The sequence below is a fragment of the Homo sapiens genome, chromosome 6 (genome assembly GCF_000001405.40).
Source record: "Homo sapiens chromosome 6, GRCh38.p14 Primary Assembly".
NCBI classification, from domain to species: Eukaryota; Metazoa; Chordata; class Mammalia; order Primates; family Hominidae; genus Homo; species Homo sapiens.
The window spans coordinates 75,331,161-75,354,484 of record NC_000006.12 but is presented as its reverse complement, the minus strand read 5'-3'; the positions used below and the strand labels follow the sequence as shown (position 1 = coordinate 75,354,484).

At 38.4% G+C, this 23,324-nt stretch overlaps 1 protein-coding gene across 8 annotated transcripts in view, besides 2 other annotated features; it reads left to right on the top strand.

The window, feature by feature from the left end:
• FILIP1 (filamin A interacting protein 1) overlaps positions 1-23,324 on the top strand; it is a 201,942-nt gene that overhangs the window by 139,316 nt on the left and 39,302 nt on the right. For 6 of the 8 annotated variants that reach the window (XM_005248715.6, NM_001300866.3, XM_005248713.5 and 3 more), the window contains one exon: positions 768-946. In XM_005248715.6, the coding sequence (XP_005248772.1) occupies positions 768-946 (179 nt within the window). Of the gene's footprint in view, positions 1-767; positions 947-19,694; positions 19,843-23,324 lie in introns of those variants that run through there. The other 2 variants (XM_047418648.1, XM_011535756.3) reach the window with 1 other exon arrangement.
• Positions 19,121-19,775: an enhancer, noted in NCBI's record as "OCT4-NANOG-H3K27ac hESC enhancer chr6:76044426-76045080 (GRCh37/hg19 assembly coordinates)". NCBI's record gives its function as "activates a minimal SCP1, AML or CMV promoter by ChIP-STARR-seq in naive H9 embryonic stem cells {active_cell/tissue: H9 hESC(naive)}" and the evidence as "EXISTENCE:reporter gene assay evidence [ECO:0000049][PMID:30033119]".
• Positions 19,776-20,430: an enhancer, noted in NCBI's record as "OCT4-NANOG-H3K27ac hESC enhancer chr6:76043771-76044425 (GRCh37/hg19 assembly coordinates)". NCBI's record gives its function as "activates a minimal SCP1, AML or CMV promoter by ChIP-STARR-seq in naive H9 embryonic stem cells {active_cell/tissue: H9 hESC(naive)}" and the evidence as "EXISTENCE:reporter gene assay evidence [ECO:0000049][PMID:30033119]".

Sequence of the window (23,324 nt, the reverse complement as noted above, 5' to 3'; positions counted from 1 at the left end):
ACTCTCCTGCCTCAGCCTCCCGAGTAGCTGGGATTACAGGCATGTGCCACCACATCCGGCTAATTTTTGTATTTTTAGTAGAGACAGGTTTTCACCATGTTGGTCAGGCTGGTCTTGAACTCCTGACCTCGTGATCTGCCTGCCTCAGCCTCCCCACGTGCTGGGATTACAGGCGTGAGCCACCACGCCCAGCTAAAAGTTTTAAAAATACTAAATGTTGACAAGGATGTAGAACAATCAAAACTCCTAAACACTGGTTGTAGGAGCGTAAATGGGTACAGCTTCTTTGGAAAATTGCTTAGCATATCTAATAAAGCTACATATACACATATCCTATGACCCATATTTCACTCATAGGTATACACCTGACACATATGCCATATGTTCACTAAAGGACATGTATTAGAATATTCAGAACAGCATTATTTGTAATAGACCCAAGCTGGAAACTACCAAAATGGTCATCAACAGTAGAATGGATAAAATTATGGTATATCCCACCCCCCCAAAAAAGGAAAGAAGTTTAGGAACCATATATATGTTTACAAAAAAGCCAGAAAGCCAGAAGTTACTGCAGCATTATTATGGTTGGTTTACACAGCCAATCAGCATAAAGAAACTGATACAATGGGGGAAATGGTGGTGAATACCAGACTCACTGTTCTCGCTTTCAGGTAATAAGTCACTAGACCCATGTCAACAAATTATTTAGAGTCCTATGCAAATGCAATAAAATATTAAGCCCTTTCCCATGTTTGCTTATTCAGCTGGACAGACTTGAGGAAAAACAGAAAGAAACCTACCGGCGCATGCTAGAGCAGCTGTTGCTGGCCGAGAAGTGTCATAGGCGCACCGTATACGAGTTAGAGAACGAGAAGCATAAACACACTGACTACATGAACAAGAGCGACGACTTCACCAACCTGCTGGAGCAGGAGCGGGAGAGGTAATGTGCACACACACCACCAGTCACATCTGGATGCCCATAGCCCTTTCATGTCTGCCCGTCCCTTCAGGGATCAGTCTTTCAGCCAGGGGCATCGTGGACAGGTGCCCAGGGTCTAATGTCAATTTTTGAATGGGTGGTAACCATAGAGAATGATACAGAATTTTACCTGAGATTATTACATGAATGTTTTGGGGGTTGCATATAGGTAGGGCGTCACATTCCCAACAAGGATGTTAAAGGCCATGAAACTGTAAAGCTGGAAAGAAACTCAAGGACTTTATTTTTTTATTTTTTTATCATGTATTTCTTTTTATTTTTTATTTATTTTTTATTATACTTTAAGTTCTAGGGTACATGTGCACAACGTGCAGGTTTGTTACATATGTATACATGTGCCATGTTGGTGTGCTGCACCCGTTAACTCGTCATTTACATTAGGTATATCTCCTAATACTATCCCTCCCCCCTCCCCTGACCCCACGACAGGCCCCAGAGTGTGATATTCCCCACCCCGTGTAAGTTTAATAATTTGCCTTCCTGAAAAGCAGATTTCCTCTCCAAAGAGAAAAACTAGATTGCTTCAAATAGAAAGCAATTTGTAGAAAGACTTTTCAAATGTAGGTGCTTCATTGATAAGTTTATGATCAATGAAGCACTTACATTTAAATGTAAACTACATTTAAATATAAACTTGATCAATGAAGCACCTACATTTGAAAAGTCTTTCTACAAATTGCTTTCTATTTGAAGTAATCTAGTTTTTCTCTTTGGGGTGGAAATCTGCTTTTCAGGAAGGCAAATTATTAAACTTAACAAGTGTAAATGAATCCTATTCATTTTTAATACCAGTGTAGAAAATATTAGTATTTGGCTGTGTATAAATCACTTAATGACTAGAACTACCTGCTGAACTTTCTAAGGGCTGCATAACTTTTAAAACTTGGGGTAAAAAAACAAACCAAACCAACTGAAGACTGACACATTGAGCCTTGATGTTTATTCTTGTAGGTTTTCATTTAGTCTTCTAAGACCAGGGATTGCCACAATTGAAGCAGGGACCCCAACTTTAAAAATTTTATAATACATTCTTCTTTACCATCTGTTTTTTTTCCCAGTATCTTTTAAATTATTATCTGCCTTCTCTTCCCTAGGCTGAATGCTTATGTCTGTGAATTCCACAGACTTTGAAACCAGTGATATTGAATCCCCATGCTTTGAGTTACCAAGCATGTCTGCTTTTGTGTTTAGAGCTTGCAAATTGAGAACCACTAGGGAACAGATTTACCTAGACCGGCTTTATTATCTATTTAGTTACAAAAAAGAGATCTAGTTTTCCCAGATTAGTGTATATGTGAGAAGAAGCTATCACAATTAGACAGTAAATAAAAGCATAAAATAGAACAGGCTTGGCTTAAACATTTTTTAAAAAAATTATTGGTAATGTTTATTTATTATTGGATTTGGTACATCCCTTGCGGAAGGAGAAATGGAAAAGTGAACAATGGCTAAATTGTTGTGTACTATATCCCAGACTTATGGTTTTTTATGTTTGTCTTAAGTTCCTGTTAAGCTAAGGTTAACTAGCTTCATGTTTGAACACATAGACTAACTGATTCGACATCCTGGAGTAACCAGTGAAAATAAATCCCACCTCCTCAATCTCTGAGAACTTTCCAACCTCAAGCTACAGATACTGCAAACAAGGTTCTAAGGAGAGTATAAATTACATACACAGTCATGTGTCACTTAATGAAGGGGATGCATTATGAGAAATCCATCATTAGGTGATTTCATCATTGTGTAAACATCACAGAGTACGCTTACACAAACTTAGATGTATAGCCAACTGCACACCTAGGCTATATGGCACAGCCTGTTACTCTTAGGCTACAAAACTGTACAGCATGTTACTCTACTGAATTCTGCAGGCAACTATAACACAATCATAAGTATTTGTGTATCTAAACATATCAAAGGTAAAGTAAAAATATAGTATTATAATCTTATGGGATACAATGGGGGAAATGGCCGTGAATACCAGACTCACTGTTCTCCCTTTAAGGTAGTAAGTCACTAGACCCATGTCAACAAATTATTTAGAGTCCTATGCAAATGAAATAAAATATTAAGTGTATAATGAATATTAATGGTAATGAATATAAAAGTATTCTGTGGTGGCCGCATGTGGCTCGCACCTGTAATCCCAGCACTTTGGGAGGCCGAGGCAGACAGATCACCTGGGGTCAGGAGTTCGAGAGCAGCCTGGCCAACATGGTGAAACCTGTCTCTACTAAAAATACAAAAATTAGCCGGGCATGGTGGTGTGCACCTGTAATCCCAGCTACTTAGCCTGACGCAGGAGAATTGCTTGAACCTGGGAGGCAGAGGTTGCAGTGAGCCAAGATCGCGTCATTGCACTCCAGCCTGGGCAACAAGAGCGAAACTCTGTCTCCAAAAAAAAAAAGTACTCTCTGAACCATCATGCTGTCTTGTGCTGCCTCAGGCACACCACCATCATATATGCAGTCCCTTGTTGACAGAAGTGTCGTTATGTGGCACAAGGCTATCTACAACAATCATCTGGTTAGGTGTCCTGTGTTGGAATGTGGTCAGGTAAAAAAGTTGCAACTTGATATTAACTTTTTAGAATATCGAAAATCAAATAATTCTAAGAGCACCTGTGTGAATTATTTCTCATTACCTTGTAAATTATTTGATTTAGAACCAGATATCTGTCTTTTCTTTAGCTTCCCACCTAAGCTAAATGCCTGAGGTAGTATAAGTTCACTTACAGAGTCATTGGTTTAATAAAAGTGTGTAGGCGGAGTGACCATACTTATTCAGGCTGTTTATTTTTCTTTGTTTTTTGTTTTCCTAATTTTTGTGTTCTGTGAGAGTAATTGAAGTAATCAAATAGAGAGCATGATAGTTCACAGAGTACTTTTATGTTCAGGATCCACTAAGCCTATGCAGGATGTGTTTATTTACTACCTTCATGTTGGTCAACTCCAGACTAACAATTTTAATCCCCTCTCTCATAGAAGTTGTTTAATTTTATTAAAACAATTACAACAGCCTCTCCTGAGCAAAGTGCTACGTAGAAAGTTTTAAAAGTAAAAAAAAAAAAAAAAAAAACTTTAAAAAAAATTACCCTAACATGCTTTTGATACTTTCATCAGCACCACTGGGATATGTCACCAAACTTTCACGTTTTAGATAAGAATTCACTAAGAGACCTTTGACTCTCACTTAATTTTCACACCACTTTATGTTTTAAAATAATTTTTTATGGAATCAGTTATACTTTAGTGCTTAAATCTTTTTTGTTTTTCTGTCAACGTTTTATCTCAGCTCAACACTGTGACTGACCACCAGTGCACATGCCGTGGGCACTCTCTGACAGACACTTTATTCTAAATTAAACATCCCTAGTAGGACCTGATTGATACCTTAAGTTGGCGTCTCTGAATTTCTCTGCGATCTGAGGCGTCCACCGTGACTTGCTTGCCGAGTTCCCGGGGCAGCGAAGTTTTTGGGATTTTTCAAAGGTCAAGCCTGGGATTCCTGCTACCCTTTGGAAACTGCCCTGCTAAATCTGCTTTGGGTTAAATCCTCTTTTTGAAGTAAGCGGTCATAATTAGATCTACTTATGAGAGCTGGCAGGAGGCTGACCCCGAGGCTTTCTTTCCCGCGAGCCAAGTTGCCGGGGAGCCCCTCCCCAGCGGAGACCACGGACCACGGACCTTGGCTGGGTCGCTGCATCCCTGGGGCTCTGCCAGAGAGCCTCTCCAGGAGGCTCCCGCCGAGGCGCAACGCGGCCACAGCACCTGCAGGGGAAGCTGGACTGCTGCTAATAAGGAAACGGCATTTTTGAGAACAAGTGGGAGTCCTCGTGTCCTATAGACTGTTCCAAGTCCTTTACATGCTTTTTGTTTTGCACTCCCTTCCCCTTTTCCCGAAAAGTCCCTGTGAGCAAAAAGCACAGCCAAGAACTTTGCTTCGGAAATGCTTCCCTTTGTTTCTACTGTGAACATGAGTAAGGGAAGAAAGTGAAGTTTGAGATAAGCCTGAGTGGTTTTCTCCTTATAATCACTCACTCAGCTTCTCCCGCCGGTGGTGAGACTCTGCAGGCTGTCTCCATTCCAGGCGGCTTATTGATTTGGTGGTGGAGGGGTGAGGTTGGGGGCGGGGCAGAGCAGGGACTCTCCGGGCACCAGAAGCATTTCAGCTCCGTTCTCCACATTTGTCCTGCTCTGTAAGGGTTTCTCACCTCTTCCAGAAAAATGGTTAAAGATAACAAAAAGGAACCCAGGCTCACAGGATCAGTAGTAGCTGTTGATAAGCCATCCAGATTCAGATGTTTGATGTTGTTTGAATCTGAGGCTCTGAATATTGTAAAAGATTTTGAGATCAGCCCTTTCAAATCCCTCATTCTACAGGTGGAGACATTGAGGCCTAGAACAATTATGTAACTCAACCAAGATCACACAGTGCAGGCCACTACTCTAGCACTTTTGGACAAGTGAATACTTTGTGCAAATAGTTTATGTTTCATTTTTGTGTGTAGGTTCCCCACCCCACCCTCTTATATCCAAACTATGACACAAAATTTTGAAAGGCAGAATGACTGTTATCATGAAGATATAAGCACAGAGATATTAGGACCAGCGGTGTCTCTAGAATGTCAAGGTAGATGCTTTGACACAGTGGTCTCTCGGAAGGAGCAGCCTGGGACTTGTTTTGAAGTTGAATCTGAATAGCATACACAGTGTTTTACTTAGCTTGCTTTCTATTTGGGGTAGTTATCACAGAAGGTTAATGAGGTTTATGGGGGCGCTTAATAAAGCCCTCCTCCAAATTAACTCCCTCGTTTTGCCACTGACCTAGACCCTGTAAGTGTAAAAACTATATAAATTATTTTTCACTTTCCAGGAATTGCTTAACTCATCTTGTATAAAAATTCCACAAATTAAGTACCTAAAGTGGGCAATGTATTGTTCTGGGCTTCCTTTATTCTAAGTCAACAAACTGTGATCATAATTTGTTACCATCATTGATTGCATATTTGTTTTACAAATAGTTATAGTCCCAAATTAAAAAGAGAAAACACCATTTTAAAATGTTTTGGCTTAATTAGCACTGTTAATAATAAAGACAAAAATATTTTTTATTGTATTAATTCCGGCTGGGTAAAGAAATCCCCCTTGTCTAAATGCTATATTTGGTTTCGTCCATATTTCAAGTCAACTTGACTTTTAAAGGCATAATTCTGAGCACATGAGATCACCTTCAGAGTCTGTGCTTTACTTTCTGCCTGAACTGCAAGACTTGTGATTTTAATCTTAAGCTTCACTAGGGCTGCTCCAAGAATGTCAAAATAGAGAGAACACAGTTACATCAAAAAGTGGTCTGAGACTTAAAGAAATATTTGAGGGAAAAGTGTGTGTATGTGTGTGTGTGTGTGTGTGTGTGTATAACTGATGTGGAGGAGTGCTGTCTAGATCTATCACTGTAGATAGAGATTTTAAAACTTTTGGATTTTATAGGCTCAGCTGGGACTACATAAATAATTACATCATCATATAATATTGCAGCAAGCCCTCCAAGTGTAAGTTAAGTTTTTTAAAGTACAAATCAGCTTCTTAAGAGAAATCCCTTAACTTGTGAAGCAGACTGTAAGAGCAGGGGTTTGAATGGAAGGGAAGCTTTCAAGCCCCATTTTGGTATTCTTCCTTTAAGTCAATATGAACAGGGGGTTGGTCATATATCTGGTGGATAATGGGACAGTCTGCACTATTATACTGTCCTATGTGGGGGAATGACTAGTCAGAATCAACGTTTTTGAAAACTTGCTCTAGTGGACTGGGATCTTTGGAAATATTCTTGATCCACTTTATAGGAAAAGTTTCATATCTGGTTCCCTGGAACATTATTCTTAAGTTTTTTAGGTTTAGTGGCCATATCTCAAAAGCATGTTAGCAAAATGGACTTTTCTCACTGGTAGCTCAGAGAATCTAAATAAAGCACTCTGTAGAAAAAGGTTGCTGATGCTTTGTAAATACTCAAGTCTTAACAAGCAGAAAGTAATCCATATGTGGAACATAACAGCAGAAAACAACTGAGCCTTCTTCTTTGTGATTAGCACTCTGCTAGAAGCTGTTCAAAAGCAAAGTTAACTTTTATTGACCTCTGATAAGCTAGACACATGTACCATCTTGTTTAATCCTTACAAAACTATAAGATATGTAATTATTAGCCCTTTTAGCAGATGATGAAGCAGAGAAGTTAAATTCCTTCCCCCAAGGACACTTGCCAATAATTAATTGGCAGAATCAGGGTTTGAACTGAGTTTTTTTCAGTAAGAAAAAATAACTTTTCGCACTCCTAACTTCTTACCTTCTGATAAAAGTGAACACCTTATTTCTTCAATGCACAGAGGGAGAAAGGTGACTTGGAAAGTTGACCAGTGGCTTGAACTGCATACCTATTCTGTTGCCTGTTTAAGGTTCAAATTCACAGACCTTCACTTGGTCATAAGACATACTGCCTAATATCAGTATCCCACTGATGAAGGAAATTGCTGGGAATAGACAGTTTTCAAGAAAGAAGAGGAATTAGAATTCAGAGGCCCAGTGACCCAGCTGGAGTATGTTCTATAGTTTCTGAGATAATGCAGAATCAAACTCCACCTTCCATTTCCTCTTACCCTTAAAATATTCAAATCCCACTTTCCACTGGAAAAGTGTAATTAAAGTAAAGGAGGCTGAGGTGATGAGGTGTTACCCCTAGCTGGGGTGTCTGTTTTGGATGATAAGGTGGGTGGGAGATGGTATAAAGAAAGTGAGGATACATCTTACTTGAAGGGACCAAGCAAAGTAACTTAAAAAGGTAGCTTCCCGGGGTTGGGAAGTTTGGGGTTAGAAGAGTCACTTCTTTTAAAAGACATAGGATAGTAACATACCTACTATCAGTGCTGTGGAACTAGGAGCATGTTGCTTATCTACCAGGCACCCCTCTGGATTAAATATGAAGGAGACCATTAAAAATGCCCTTGAGGTTCATTTCACCAGATTCCACCTATACAAAAATGCTGGGTCTTGGATGGATGTGAGCTTTTTCCCAAGCTTCATAGCACTCTCATTCTCAAAGTTAATGAGCTAACAGCCTCTGATTAAAGACTCTTTAAAGTCTTAGTATTATAATGTTAACAAGGATGCCTAGGAAAATGGGTTATCTGACTCACAGAAATTTCTAATTAATCAAGGGTTATGCCATGAATTAATTTACTTTTACTGCTATAGAAGATATTTCTCAAACACATTTTCCTTTCTTTTAAAAAATTTAAAATACACCACAAAATCCAGTTAAGTCATATTTGATGATTCAGGATCTTGTAGTGCTACTACCTGGATGACTCTGTACCTTATAAACTCAGAGCCTATTAGATTATACTTAAATCTAAATGTCAGTTCTGATCACGTTTTACTACAGATAAAAATGGTAAGGATGTTTTCTAGATTTTAGGGCTTAACTTGGCTTAACTGAGAATTTTAGTTAATTAGATTCCATATATTTTGGCTTTTATAACCACCACCACCACCACAGCAATAGAACTTGGACCAGAAAGAACCCTAATGACATTGTGAAGTGGCATTGCTGTCTGGGGTAAATACCCGGGGTTCCTCATCTTGTGCCAAGAGGTTTAAGGACATGGACACATGTGGGTGGGTTAAGGAGTAGAAAGTTCAATAGGCAGAAGAAAGGAGAGAGGAGAGCAGCTGTCTCTCTCTTTGTGGGAGAGAGGTGTCCAAAAAGGAAAAGACGGCTGACCACAGCAGATTTTATAGGCAGGATTGAGGAGGCAGTGTCTGATTTACATAGGGCTCACAGATTGGTTTGACCAGGTGTGACGTTTACATAGCGCACGGAAAAGGCTGGTCACCCCACCTAATCTTATTATGCAAATGGTTTTCCACTTGGCCGGCACCAGCTTGTCTGCTCCTTACTGTACGTGAGGCTGGCAAAAAGAAGATGGCCCTGCCATTTTGAACAGGCCTAGTCCCAGGTAGTATATTCCTACGGGCACATCTGCTGGCATTCACCTGTGCGAGCTTCCCGCTTGCTTGTTTATGTCTGCAGCTCAATTTTACGGGCTGCTCTTTGTTAGAAAAAAAAAAAAAAAGATTTGGGGGCTGTTTTTCATTAAAAGGAAAACCTTACCAAGGACTTCCATACTCTCACTATCTGCCTAAGTAATTTCTTTTTAACTCCTATATCAATTGTACAAAAGGATGAGATAATAATCAAAGAAAACTGATTATAAGAAAAAAAATGTTGAAAGGGAGGGCTTGAGCAAAAATGGGCAAGAAGTACACTTTACTGTAAATGATTTCAACAAGCTATGTAGGAATGCCTTAGTCCTGGTGTTTGATATCTCTTATTTTAGAAAAGTCCTAAGAAAAGCAACAGTGGAGGACAGTATTTGACATTTAAATATGAGAAATAGTGAGAACCCAGTAAGGGTAGATGTTCATGTTGGCACAGTTTCTCTAGATCTGAACCAGTCATTGAGAGAGTTTATCTTTTTAAAAACATTTTTAAAATTTTTCATGTTTTAGAGTTGGCATCTTGCTCTGTTGCTCAGGCTGCAGTGCAGTGGTGTGATCAAAGCTCACTGCAACCTCCAGAGAGCTGATCTATTTCAAAAAGTTTTCAGGATATTACCAGATAGTCCCTGAAACTCTTAAGTTCCTGATTTGCTGAAAAGGCCTCATACTGAGAGAAATGGAGGCAGCTCCTTTCACATTGCTGTCATTCTTTTTGTCATGTGGCCCTGTAAATGCTGGTCACAACCAGTTAGAGAAGTTGACAACTGTCCTGGACAAAGGTCACAGAGGTCTCCAGTGCAAGTGCCTCCAGAGCCAGCTGACCCAGCTCTTCAGCATACATGGCATGAGTGGTTGAAACTGCTAGACTGAAGAGGCCATTCTCTGACCACCAGGGAAAGGTAAAGTTTAGCTCAGGCTAACTGACCCCATTTTAGTTGGTAGGCCCAGTGTTGTCCATTCTTATGTTTCAGAAAATGATAGAACTCTGATTTTAGTAAGATATTCCAGTTTTTCAATGTTGACTCAAATTGATAAAATAATGTGTGGTGAACAAAGCCATCTCCTGGCCACTTTGTCTTTAAAGTGGCTAGTTTGCAACCTTTGATGGCCTAGACATTAGAGAGACTGAGGTGGATGAGGTGGCCTGGCATGTGCTGTTTGATGGTGGTCAGCTAATCCATTGAGACCCTCATGAGACATACAAAACAGAAAGAAGAAAGGACAACAGTAGCCTAGAAAACCACCAAAAACCAAACAACAAACAAACAAAAAAACCACACCAGAACATAGAAATTCTTGGAGTAAAGAAAACCACATCATAGCTGGGGTTACAATGGATGCCTACTTCTGAAGGGATGACAAGCACTGGGCCATAAGCATTGCTGTTGGGTTACTGGAACTGCAGGTGTATGTTAAACAATGATGAACAATATTCCAGTTCTCTTTGGGCCTATCTGGCTGTGGAGACAGCTTTCTGTATTTATTCACTTTTTGGCATATTCTTTCTAAGAACTCCCATCATCTTAACTAATCTGGGTGGCTCTGTTCTTAGAACCTCAGAGACCAAGGGTTACAATAATAAAATTGTTATAGCTTTCACATTATCATTTGCTTGTGCTCAATTATAGAAAATGTATTATAGTGCAATAGTAATTGGATCTTTTAACCTAGTATTTTCTATTTCCTTGTGGCCTGTCCCCATTTGAGTAGTCACCCAGGAGCAACCACTGCCTCAAGAGAAATTTGTCACAACTAAACGGGAGAACAGAAATCAATATCTGGTGTGTAGGATCAAAAGCAAGGATCCAGGTATAGCATTAGAAAGAATATGTAATCAAGTGGATCCAATTTTTGTTTATCACCCCTCTTCTTTCCCATTTAGATAAGATGTTTCTCTGAGAGGATAGAAACAAGGAAGCAAGAGAAGTTTATGCTGTAGGAGGGGGTAGTCCAAAATAAGAGGCTCTGTTCAGAGCTTTTTTCTGGGGAGTGGGTGGGGGACAAAGATGGAGAGTAATATAAAACCCAAAGAGAGTTGGTGTGGAGAATTCTAGACTGAAGGGATTACCAGGTGGAGTCCAAGAGTATCTTAGTTTGCTTGGTCTGCCATAACAAAACACTATAGACTCTTTTGCTTAAACAATGGAAATGTATTTTCTCACAGTTCCAGAGGCTGAAAGTCCAGGATGCCAGAATTGTTGGGTTCTGGTGAGACCTCTTCTGTTGCCTTGTAGATGGCTGGCTTCTCCCTGTGTGCTCACGTGGGCTTTTTCCAGTTCATGTGTATGTAGAGATAGCTCACTCTCTTCCAACTCTTATAAGGCTACCAATCCTATCAGATTAGAACTCCAACCTTATGACCTCATTTGACCTGAATTACCTCCTTAAAGTCCTGTCTCTAAATAAGGTCACATTGGGGATTAGGGCTTCAGCATATGGATTTTGGGGGGCACAATTTAGTCTTTGTCGAAGAGAAAGGCAAAACTTGTGGTTCTCCCTCCAAGAATTCAGGAGAAAAAGAGTAAAAATGGTGACCAGTATGTTTAGTCAGAGAAAGCTTGATACAGCCTCAGTTTCCTGCCACTCTAAAAGAATATCTAGATTTTTCCCTGTGCCTTTGAAAGGCTGTGGAAATAGCTGAGGCAGGGCTGGTCAAGAGCATGAAACTGTGACTGACTTGGATCAGGAACTTGGACAGATTGGCAACTGAGATCAGAGACCACAGTGTGCATCTCAGAGGATGCCTGTGTGGAAGAATGATGAGCAGATGACCTCTCATCCACCTTCCTAATGGTCCCAGAGGTTAGTCGCAACTCCAGAAATGAGGGCTTGAAGCCCTAGAATGAACTCAGGAGATCCTGACTTGACTGAAGTCTGAATTTACTAAAGGAAACTAGGCTTGGGTGAGCATACCCGTAATTAACTAAGATGAAGTTTCTGTTACCTGTGGAATGGGACCCCAAATAGAAATTATAAAAGATTCAGAAAAATGAAGATCATTGTATTTCTTGCACACGTGAGTGTGAGGCCTGCAATTAGTACCACTCCATGGATAAAATAATCTGTATGTGTGCTGAGGAGAAATAATGCAGTATTGAGGCATTTCAGATTACATATGATGTGCTTCCAAATATCTTGTGACCTTCAGAGGATTATCTGATCTAAGTTTTACCTCTTCAACTGCAGTCAATTTCTTCTCTAGGTTACTCTAGTTACATGGTGTGAGACCCTCATAAAATCTGTAACCTAGAGACAGTTATTTTCTTAGTCTCCTGCATTTCATTTAGAGACAGATAACTCTGAGTTCAGTTACTAAGTCTATCACTTGTGGTCTGTGACTTTGGATAGGTTATTTAACCTCTCTGATTTTTGGTTTCCTCTTAAATAGAATGGAGATAACCAAGTACCTATCTCATAGCATTTTATGTTCATGAGATAATGAATATATAGCCCCATTCACAAGGCATAGCATGTAATACCTAAAGGGATCATTTCTTTTACTCATCTGTGTATTAAACTCTTGGAGGAAAACAATACAAGTTTCACTAAATCATGATTTACGGTTTATCAAACTAAGACATTTTGAGAACAATGCAACGTGTAGGAAAAGTAAACTCTTCTATTGTTTGAGGGTAGCTGTTATTGTATTTAATTATATGTAGACTCAGGAAAACTGAAAACCTGCTGCAAACAATTAGAGACTTCAATAAAGTAAAGTAGCAAAGTACAAAATTACATGAAATCAATAAGCAAAAATCAGTAGTTTTTATATTTCCAAATGACAAAATAATATAAACTATATTACATACAAACTATATTAAATATAAAATATCTAGGCATAAATTTAAGAATGTGAAAGATCTACATAAAGAAGTATCTTAAATGCTACCTAGAGACATGAAAAAGACTGAGACCAATGGAAAGGATCATATTCTAAGACTGGAGGACTCAACATCATAAAGATGTCAAAAGCCTGGCACAGTGGCTCACTCCTGTAATTCCAGCACTTTGGGAGTCTGAGGCAGGCAGATCACTTGATCCCAGGAGTTCAAGACCAGCCTTGGCAACATAGTGAAACCTCATCTTTAAAAAAAAAAAAATTAGCCAGGTGTTACAGCACATACCTGTAGTCCCAGCTACTTGGGAGGCTGAAGTAGGAGGATCACTTGAGCCTGGGAGGCAGAGGTTGCAGTGAACTGAGATTGCACCACTGCACTCCAGCCTGGGTAACAGAGTGAGACCCTGTCTCAAAAAATCCAAAAAAAAAAAACAAAACAAAAACCCTCAAGTCTCCCAATATTAATTCACAAATTTAATGTAATCCTAATATCAACTTTTTAATGTAGTTCTAAAAATACCTTTTTTTAAGTATGGGAACTAAATTAAGGGATTCTAAAGTTCATATGAAAAATACACAAGCGGACGGGCAGGCACGGTGGCTCATGCCTGTAATCTCAGCACTTTGGGAAGCCGGGGTGGATGGATCACTTGAGGTCAGGAGTTCGAGATCAGCCTCGCCAATATGGCAAAACACCGTCTTTACAAAAAAAAAAAAAAAAAAAAAAATTCCTGAGCATTGTGGTGTGCGCCTATAATCCCAGCTACTAGGGAGGCTGAGATAGGAGAATTGCTTGAACCCGGGAGGCAGAGGTTGCAGTGAGCCTAGATCATGCCACTGCATTGCAGCCTGAGTGACAAAGTGAGACTCCACCTCAAAAAAAAACAAAAACGAAAACCCATAAGCAAAAATAGTCAAATTTTGAAACCAAAAACAAGCAGAAACAAAAAGTTTTCTAGCAGAAACAAAAACTCTTTTTAAAGCTACAGTTCATAAAATAACATGGTATTGGTACATGAGCAGACAGACCAATAGAGCTGATGGAATTTCTGGAGATAGATTATATAGGTATAAAAACGTAATACATTTTAAAGATGGCATTCCAAATCAGTTGGCAAAAGTTGGGTCCCTTAGTAATGACCATTATCATAGTCATCTTTTTGTATGGCTCCTATACTTTATTTGTAAACGCTGGGAACAACTGATTGTATTTTAGTGAGAGTATTTCCCTCTGGCCTGATCTAGTGTCTACCATTTCAGGAGAACCATCCATATAACAGTTGTGGTTTGCGTCAGAAGAAAATTTAGCATTTACATTTTAAGTTTCCAAAGGACAGATAAATTCTATGTAATAAAAAATTATATTTGAGGAATAAAATAAAACTATGAAATACATAGCTGGAAAAACATGACTTACTTTCTATTCTAAAAAGCAATATTATGATTTTTAGCCATATAAAATTTTATAAGAAGTAAAATATGTGGTAACTAGAAGCATCCTTTGGGAGAGGAAGTGCTGGAGTTATTTTGCTGGGGTCATAAGTTTATTGCTATATTTCTATAAATTTGTATATTTAAAAAATACATTAAAAAGAAGTGACAGGACACACTTTATATTATATATATATTTATTTATTTATTTTAGACAGAGTCTTGCTCTGTTGCCCAGGCTGGAGTGCAGTGGTGTGATCTCGGCTCCCTGCAACCTCTGCCTCCCAGGTTCAAGCGATTCTCCTGCCTCAGTCTCCTGAGTACCTGGAACTACAGGTGCCCACCACCGTGCCTGGCTAAATGGTGTATTTTTAGTAGAGACTGGGTTTCGCCCTATTGGCCAGGCTGGTCTCAAACTCCTGACCTCAAGTGATCCCCCTGCCTTGGCCTCCCAAAGTGCTGGGATTACAGGTGTGAGCCACTGCGCCTGGCCTCCCCACACTTTATATCTTGAAAGGATTAAACACAGCTTAAACTTACTTATTCGAATAATCTGTAGAATATTAATTTTCTTTTCCCAACAGCTGCATAAAACAAATTGCTTTAAATGAGAAAAAAAAGTGAATGTGAAGAGCTGTGCCTAATAGTCTACCAAACTGAAGGATTTAAAAGCATGTATTTTTTTACAGAAGTTGTTGTGTTATTTAGCAGAGTCCAGATACAAATTCACTTATTTTGAAAGTCTAGCACAGATTTACCCTATAATTTCTAAAGTAGATTGTGATTCAGTTTATGTATATAGATGAAAATTCATGCCTATTTTTCAGAGAGATAAATAAGCATTAATTAATCAAGAGAGTCCTCAGGAACCAGAGTAGATGAGACATTTTAAGAAACACACAATAAAAATCATCAGGAAATAATAAACAGTCCAGTTAGAATGGGACTTCAACAGACAAATTTTCCATCAATAGTTACAGCCTCAGAGTCTACCCAAGTGACAAACATTTAGACAGTGAACAACTAGTGCTTTCTAGTAACAGATTTTGGAAATGCTTTCTGACCTATCAATACACTGAAACTATCACTTGTAATCCAGGCAACTGTAATGATCAACTGTAGATCAATTCTAACTTTAACAGATGTTCTTTATGTCAGAAATGCAAAATCGAAGTCTCCTATGGATTTTTTTTCATGAACTGAAGCATCAGTGAGATGTATAAATTCCAGAGAAAATAAATTAATCCAGGTTATAGAAGCAACTGTATTAAAAGTGAACATTTCCAACAACTGAGGGGAGTTTTTGTTCCCCGCATTCCAAACTAGTTGGATTGAGTTTTTAATTGATCTAATCGTTTATTTCAGCCTCATGGGCAAAATTGGGTATGGAAAAAGTGATAAGTGAGATTATTCTTCTGGAATAAAAAACTCTGGGAATTCTGCTCTAAATTGGCAGACATTTGTCATCACAATAAATAACAAGTAAATATTGTTTTTGCATAAACTTATACACCAAGAAAAAGCTAAGAAAGGAAAGTGCTGGAAAAATGTGTTGTCTCGTATCACTACAGTGAATAACTACATTGTTTTCGTATTTTTACTTTTTTTCTAGAGTGGAAGAAGGTAGTCGGATTAGCATTACAAATCTTGGACTCCAGAGAGGAGGCTGAAACTTGGGAAGGTGGTGTTTTCAATGTTTGGAGGTTGCTCCTCTCTGGCTCTTTGACTGTGTGCGCACTCTTTTTCCAAGAATGCTTGTGTTTGGAAAGTGCTTCATGGTGGTGAAAAGTTTGAGCAGAAAAGATTAATCAAAGTTTGGGTCTTTCATGTTCAATGCATAACATATTCAGCTCTTGGATGTGAACTCTTAGCCAAGAAACTATTCAAATATTATTCAGGGGCTGAATGTGAGCTTTAACTGCAAACAAGAGGTCAACTTTACTTAGTCTTAACTCATTCCTCTTAAGTTCAGAAATGCTGTGACTTAAGGATTTTAAAAAATATTTTCTGCATAGCTCCTAATATCATATAAGAGGTCACTGAGAGTTCCTTTTATTTATTTTATTCTTAAATGCTTAAGGAAGCACATTCATTTGACCTGAAGTATGAAGGAAACAGGAAATGGTGGACTATGACTGCACCACATCCAGCGTGCTCTTAGAGGGGAGGAATGCTCTAGACTACCTAGTCTTTGTCATTTAGTACAATGTGACTAAATAACACACAACAACTTCTGTAAAAAACCTGTATTCAAATCAGGAAAGTGCTCTTATCTACACTACCATTTCTGCCTCCAGTACTTTCTGATTTACTCAGCTTTCCAGTGCTCTCAGGTTTTTCTCACTTCTCCCGGAATCTGTAACATACGGTAAGTTTTGGATTATGTTATTCCCAAGGAAGAAGGCATAGTTGTGGGAAGAACTATTATCCAGACCTGATACACCATTCCCAAGCTTCCAAGGTGGAATCCTGGAAGAATGCACCTCTGCCCCAACTAAGGAAGGCAAGTGCAGTGCTTCTAGTGTATCCTATGATGTTCTTCTTCCTGCCCTGCCATGCATCCACTTCTTGAATTTCTGGAGCACACCCTGCTCTGCTACAAAAAAAAAAAAAAGTTTTGTGAGATGAAAGCATATTGCATTGGCAAGCCCAGTGATTGCCCACATACATTGAGAAACTTCCAACTTGCCATATGCTAAACTAGATCTTTTTCATAATTCAGGAATCATGTCCTCTTTACATCTCTTTTCCTTATCAATTTGAAAAAGAAGCAACTGAAGGAAGACTTGTTTTAAAGAGTCACTTGGTCAGGTCATGATGCTTCATGGCAACCAGATGCTTAAAGGATAATAGGAGCCTGGATACTCTGTCTCTAGGATCCAGTGCTTTAAAAAGTTATAATTGTTTTTAGAAGATTCCCACTCATAGTGGACTTAGGACTCGACCTGGGGACCTATAATCACAATAATACTTTCCACATGCACTATATTACATTGGGGTATACATTTCAGTTAATATGTGCTGAGGAGTTGAAGAAAGGTTGTATATGATTCATAGAAAAAAAAAATTAGGCACCAGTGTCTAAGACAATGCCTGGTCCTTGGTGGGCAACCAATTAAGTATTTGTTGAATGAGTGAATACAAGATACTTCCTGAAAACAGAAAGACACAGAAAGAACCCTGCCCTTCAGAAGCTAATAGTGGGACGTTTCTTGTTACTGTGACTCTAAGAAGGGTTATAGCACCATTTAAACATCTCTGGCTTCCAAGAGGCTTCTAATAAACAGTGTTATTTAGCCAAGGGGGTGTTAATTAATTATAATAAATATAGCCTTTTTGAGTGAGTCTCAATAGTGGAGTTTTAAATTAACTTTGAATGTAGTCGTTTAGTGGTATTAAACAGGGAGGGAAAAGAAACCTGTCTGTGATTGACATTTGTGGTATTTTTAAAAAAGGTTTTTTAAAGGTAATAAAACATTTCCCCTTGCTATTATCATTTGTCTCTAAATATTGATTTAATATGGCTTGAACATAAGCAATGCCTCCCCAGGACTATAATTCAAGTTTGAATCACTAGAAGCAAACTGAGTACAAGATGCCTGCCGCTTGATTGTATAATCGGTCCTGACCCCTTGATTCCCTTTTTTTTTTCACATGGGTTTATGTTGCCTGTCAAAATTAGACCACAAGTTTATATTTTCACAAACTGCCTACCATCATCAACATTAAACTGTGCAGAAACATATTATATATTGTGGGCCCACTATGCATCAGATTCTGTGGCCCTGACTTACATTATTTTATTTAATTCTCATAACAGCCCTGTAAGTTAAAACCCATATCCCTATTATACAGCTGAGTTAACTGAAGCCACAGAGTTACAAAATATACCCTTTAGTTACCTTCCAAGTAGGTGCCAAGCCCAGATTAAGTCTATCAATCAATTGCCAAGACGCCTCTTCCCCCAGCACTAGTGCAGCCTTGCCAGGCAGTGGCAATAGTTTCTTGTTTTCTTCTTCAATGTCAGTTTCCCCATCCATATTAAAAAATAGCTAAAAAACAAAACAACAACAAAAAACAAAACAATAACTAATTGGTTAGTATCTGTAATTTTACCTTAACAATGAACATTGCTTTATGTAACTTTTACAGAAAGCTACATTATTTGATTATAACCCTGTAATGAAAACACACTTATTTAGTACTACAACCTTGAAACATGAAGTAATTATTATATTCAGTTCAGGCTATTGAGAGGTTAGACATATTCTTAAAGCAAAGGGCATGACTGAACATTAGGGATGTAAGAAAGCAATGGTCTTGACCTTATTTTTTTTCATATTCTTTTCTATGCCATAACATAATGGCTTATACTTATGTAGTATAAAAGATATCTGAAGGCTTAAAAATGCTCTGCAAACATTTAATTCTGTTAACCTTAAAGTTAATTTGACTAATTTATCTGGTATCGTGCTTTTATTCTGTAATTGAAATGAAATTTCATAACATAAATGACATACATTTCTATGCATATGGCTTAGAAAAAATTATACTGGAATGTTTAATTTACCTAATGGCTTTTTGACTAGATTTATCACTCATACACTCTCTCAGGGAGAAGGAAAAAAGGAATGAAGGGAAGGAGGGAGGGAGGAAGGAAGGGAGGAAGAAACAATGGGAAAAAAAGAAAAGAAAAAACAGAGAAGAGGGACAACTAATTTGAAGATGATAGAAGCTTTTGAAAACATTTTGTATAAATGCTGAAACAGACACTTCTTTAACTTTAGCTGAATGTATTCACCTACTTTTGTTTTTGCAGACAGCAGTTTTTGCCATTTAAAAACACTTAGGGAAAAAAATTCAAGTAAAAATATTTTGTAAAGATGAAATGATTTTTAAAATGAAAGGCACTTGGCATTCTGTAGCCATACTGCAGTGTTTTCATTTAGATACCATGTACCTTAACTGGCATTTTAGTTGAAACATGAATTTTCTCCTGTTGGCTGAATCATAGATTAGGCTCTAGTGGGATCCCTATTTAAATTCCAGTATGTGCTGAATAGAACTGTATAGAGTTTAGCTAGTTTGAGAAATCGGGAGTGAGGCCCATTTGACATTTTATGCATATCTTTTCTTTATTTCATTCTTCCTCCCCAAATGTATCCCTCTCCCAATGCATTTCCCTTAGTGTGGAGCGTAATTCCCATTCACTTGCTTTGCTTCTTAAGAGCTGCCTTCCCTTCCAGTCTTGGGCAGCTCCACCCCTTCTCACAGACCAAAGTAAATCTGCACAATAATGAGCCATATAAGGGAGGAATGACATCATCAGTTAGTGTTCCCAAGCTGTTTTGCACAACATTCACCTTTCATTGTTCTGATGACAGGGCTGGAATGTGACGGTTAATTCCCTGTGGAGTAGGGGGCTGAGCAAGGCCTGCTGCTGTTGAACAAACTTCAGTACCCCCTTATAAAAAAACAAAAACAAAAACAAAGCTACTATGCTTCCTAGTATTAAGGTAAGGAAGTCAAGATCTGTTTTGATTTAAGCAATGTTAGTTACTCTTGTCCATGCGCATTTCATTTGTTAATAGGCTTACTTGGCAGTAAACTCATTTCTAAGTGTTACTGCAAAGAGCATCTTGGAAGCTGGGTTTGGACATTTGTAGAGCCCTGACTAATCTGACAAGGGCTGTAAGAACTCGACAACCTTTCAGTTTGCAGCTACAGGTTTTACTGAGTGTGGATGGTGACAAGCCTTGAAAATTACCAGCTCATTGTGACTTTCCTTGATGCCTCAGAATCCTTGATTGAAACTGGCCAAGATGCACCTTGGTATGGTATGAAGAGTGCTCCTGGTTTTCTATGGTGGGGGAAGTAATTTCATCCTACAGAAACCTTGGGGAGTTTGTACCAGAACTGAAAAATCTCTTGTCTTACTACCAGCAGTCCTACTAATGTGTTCTGAAGGCTTTTAACAGTCAGCCTTTCTATATACTGTAAATGTATCTTCTAGTGTATGATTTCTTGATGAGCAAGCAACTAATTTCAAGTAAAATATTCTTCCCAAAGGTTTGTTGTTATTGTTGTTGTTGTCATGTGGATTTTCTGCAGCTCTCTCTTTGCATGTGTGGAAAAGGCTTGTAAAAGTTGGCAATGAATTAGAATGCATAGCGATCCAAAGAAAGCCGTGTTTGTTCTGAAACACTCAGTGTGGCTGTGATAACAAGAATAATAAAGTAAATAGGAGGTTTGATTTCAAAGTGGGAATGAGAGTAAAGTTTGGATTATGTTAAACAATTGTGTAAAAACTTGAACTTTAGTAATTTTTCAAAATGCCAAAAAACATTGTCTAAATTCAGCAGAGTGTATAAAAATAAATAGCTTGATTTAGTGCTCAGTAGGGCTGAAAGATCTGTGAGTCCTTCACAAAAGAACTTCATTTGGCCAAAACCAAATTTTTATAGTGTGATTTTAGATTCACATGACCCGTTTTATAGAAATTTGAAATGGGGGCAGATGGTATGGTTTTCATTTGTGTAGATTTAATTTGTGTAACATTGGTTGTTAATACTGTTTTGTCTCTGTGTTTAAAGTGATGAATATCTTGAGTTCAACTATGATGAAAATCTTGGGTTCACTACATTGATCTTCCTGGATTCTTAATTCCATGTGACTGGATGAACTTCTGTTTACTTGTAAAATTAAGTATCCTTTCCACCACAGAAGGATGCTCACATTTGTCTTTTTTCTAGATTAACAATAGTCAAGATCAATACAAAATTAAGTCTGAGGTTTTGGAGTTTTGTTTATTGTTTCAACATTTAGTTTTTTGAATTAGTTTTAAAGGTTTTCCAAAACTGGGTGAGATAATTATTAAATAAATGTTAACATAATAATTCAAAAAAAATTTAGCAAAATTTTACATAAGCTTATATTTAAAACTTTTTAAAAGACCTTTAAATGTCATGGCAATAAACCCAACTGCCATTGTAAAAAGGGAGAGGTTTACTTTTCTGAGTAAGTAAATGAAAACACACCAATAAGTGATGTATATACTTAAATTAATTTGCTACCTAAGTTATGTCTAAGTTATTTTAAACAAATTTTATTTGTGAAAATGGATTTACCCAAGAGACAAATTAGATTAGTAGTATCTTAATTAAGAGCTTTACAGTAAAATACTTTTATGTTGTGAGCTCCCATACTGTATAAGCTTAAAACCATGACTTTGCCCAGCACTGTATAAAAGTGTGTGTGGAGTAAAATGAGGTGTATGGTACCTTTATGGATTGTCTCCAACTTCTTTGACTAGTCTCAGAAAACCTCATTCATGCTGCCAGCTCCTCCTGTTATGTTCTGTGTGACCACAAGTGCCTTCCATGGGGGAAAGGCTCCTCACACTGTGGGAGGTGTATGTGGAAGGAGACCCTCACACATGGGAGACCCTCATACTGTGAATTCAGGGACTGAAAAACCTACCTGCTTCTAATATCCTCCCTGCTTCCCCCAGGGAATCCTTCCATTTAACTTATTTTCCAAGGGAGAGAATTTCCTGTGGCAATATGCATTTCCTAAATATAGCATCCCATAATTAGGTGTGATGAACTGGGCAATACATTCCTTAAGAATGGGATACGGAAGGCCTCTTTGAGTTGGGGAGAGAAGGTGAAGGGGCCACCTGGAAGGGAGAGCCCAAGGTCACACATTTAAGTGACAAACTTGTATGGTTCATGGCTTTTCCTGTTCCTAGTGAAAATTATTAGGTAAATTCATTCACCTGGCTGATTATACACATTATCAAAAAGAAAGAATAGTACCTGCTTTTTCTTATTTTAAAAGTATTTCATCTGACCAATTGGAGTGGGTGTTTGAAAAGTACTTTGAAACATAGAAAATAGGAAAACACAATAAAAGGCATATTGTTGTCCTCTTTGGGGAGAGGACATAAGAACAGAAACCTTAAGGTTGAGAAAGAAGAGCCCATGAGACTACTGTGAACTGCTGTCTTGGTTCATTCAGGCTGCTATAACAAAGTACCATAGGCTGGGTGGCTGATAAACAACAAAATCTTTTTTTCTCACAGTTCTGGAGGCTGAGAGTTCGAGATCAGGGTGCCAGCACAGTCAAGTTCTGGTGTGGGTCCTCTTCCTGGTTGCAGACTTCTGTCTTTTCCTTATATCCTCATGTGTGAGAGCCCTCTGGGATCCCTTTTCTAAAGGTAGTAATCCCATTCATGAGGGCTCCACCTTTCTGACCTAATCACCAATCAAAGGCCACAACTCTTAATACCAGCGCATGGGGGGTTAGGGTTTTAATATACAAATTTTGGAATGTGAGGGGATATAAACCTTCAATTCACTGCAGTCGTGCAGGTTGTAGCTTACAAGGTGTAGTGTACAAGGGTGCCTGACTAGTGAAGGAATGGGAGCTGAAATAGAGTCGCAGCATGGCACTGATTCCATAGAAAGGAAGGAGATCTTTCCAGTTCTGACAAATATGCCACATGGGTTATACGCCTGACAACAGGAGAAGGGTATTGGGAAGGCCGACAACTGCAAAAGCCCTGAACAACTACTTCCTCCATCCATGTCCCCATCCTTGGGTGTCCCCAAGTAGCCTATATTTAAAGGATAAATGGCATTTAACATAGCCTTGCAATATATATATTTTTATTCCTATCCCCTAATACACTGACAACGGGGAGGAGACATTCTGCCCATCTTTGTTGAATTAGTGAGTTAATTAATGAATCATGGTTATATTCTATATGAGTCAGGGAGCTTCATACTAGAGTGTGTAATCAGAGAGTTCCCTCTCAGTGAATCTCAAATATGGGCCTCCTGGATGGTCAGCAAATTATCAGAAAATACCAGCCATTTCTGTGGCTCATATGAGCAAACAACTAACAATTCCCTAGACTTTAATTTTTATTGTGACTAAGTGGTATTTACTAGTTACGTATTGAGCAATTTATTTTACAACATATATAGCATTTATA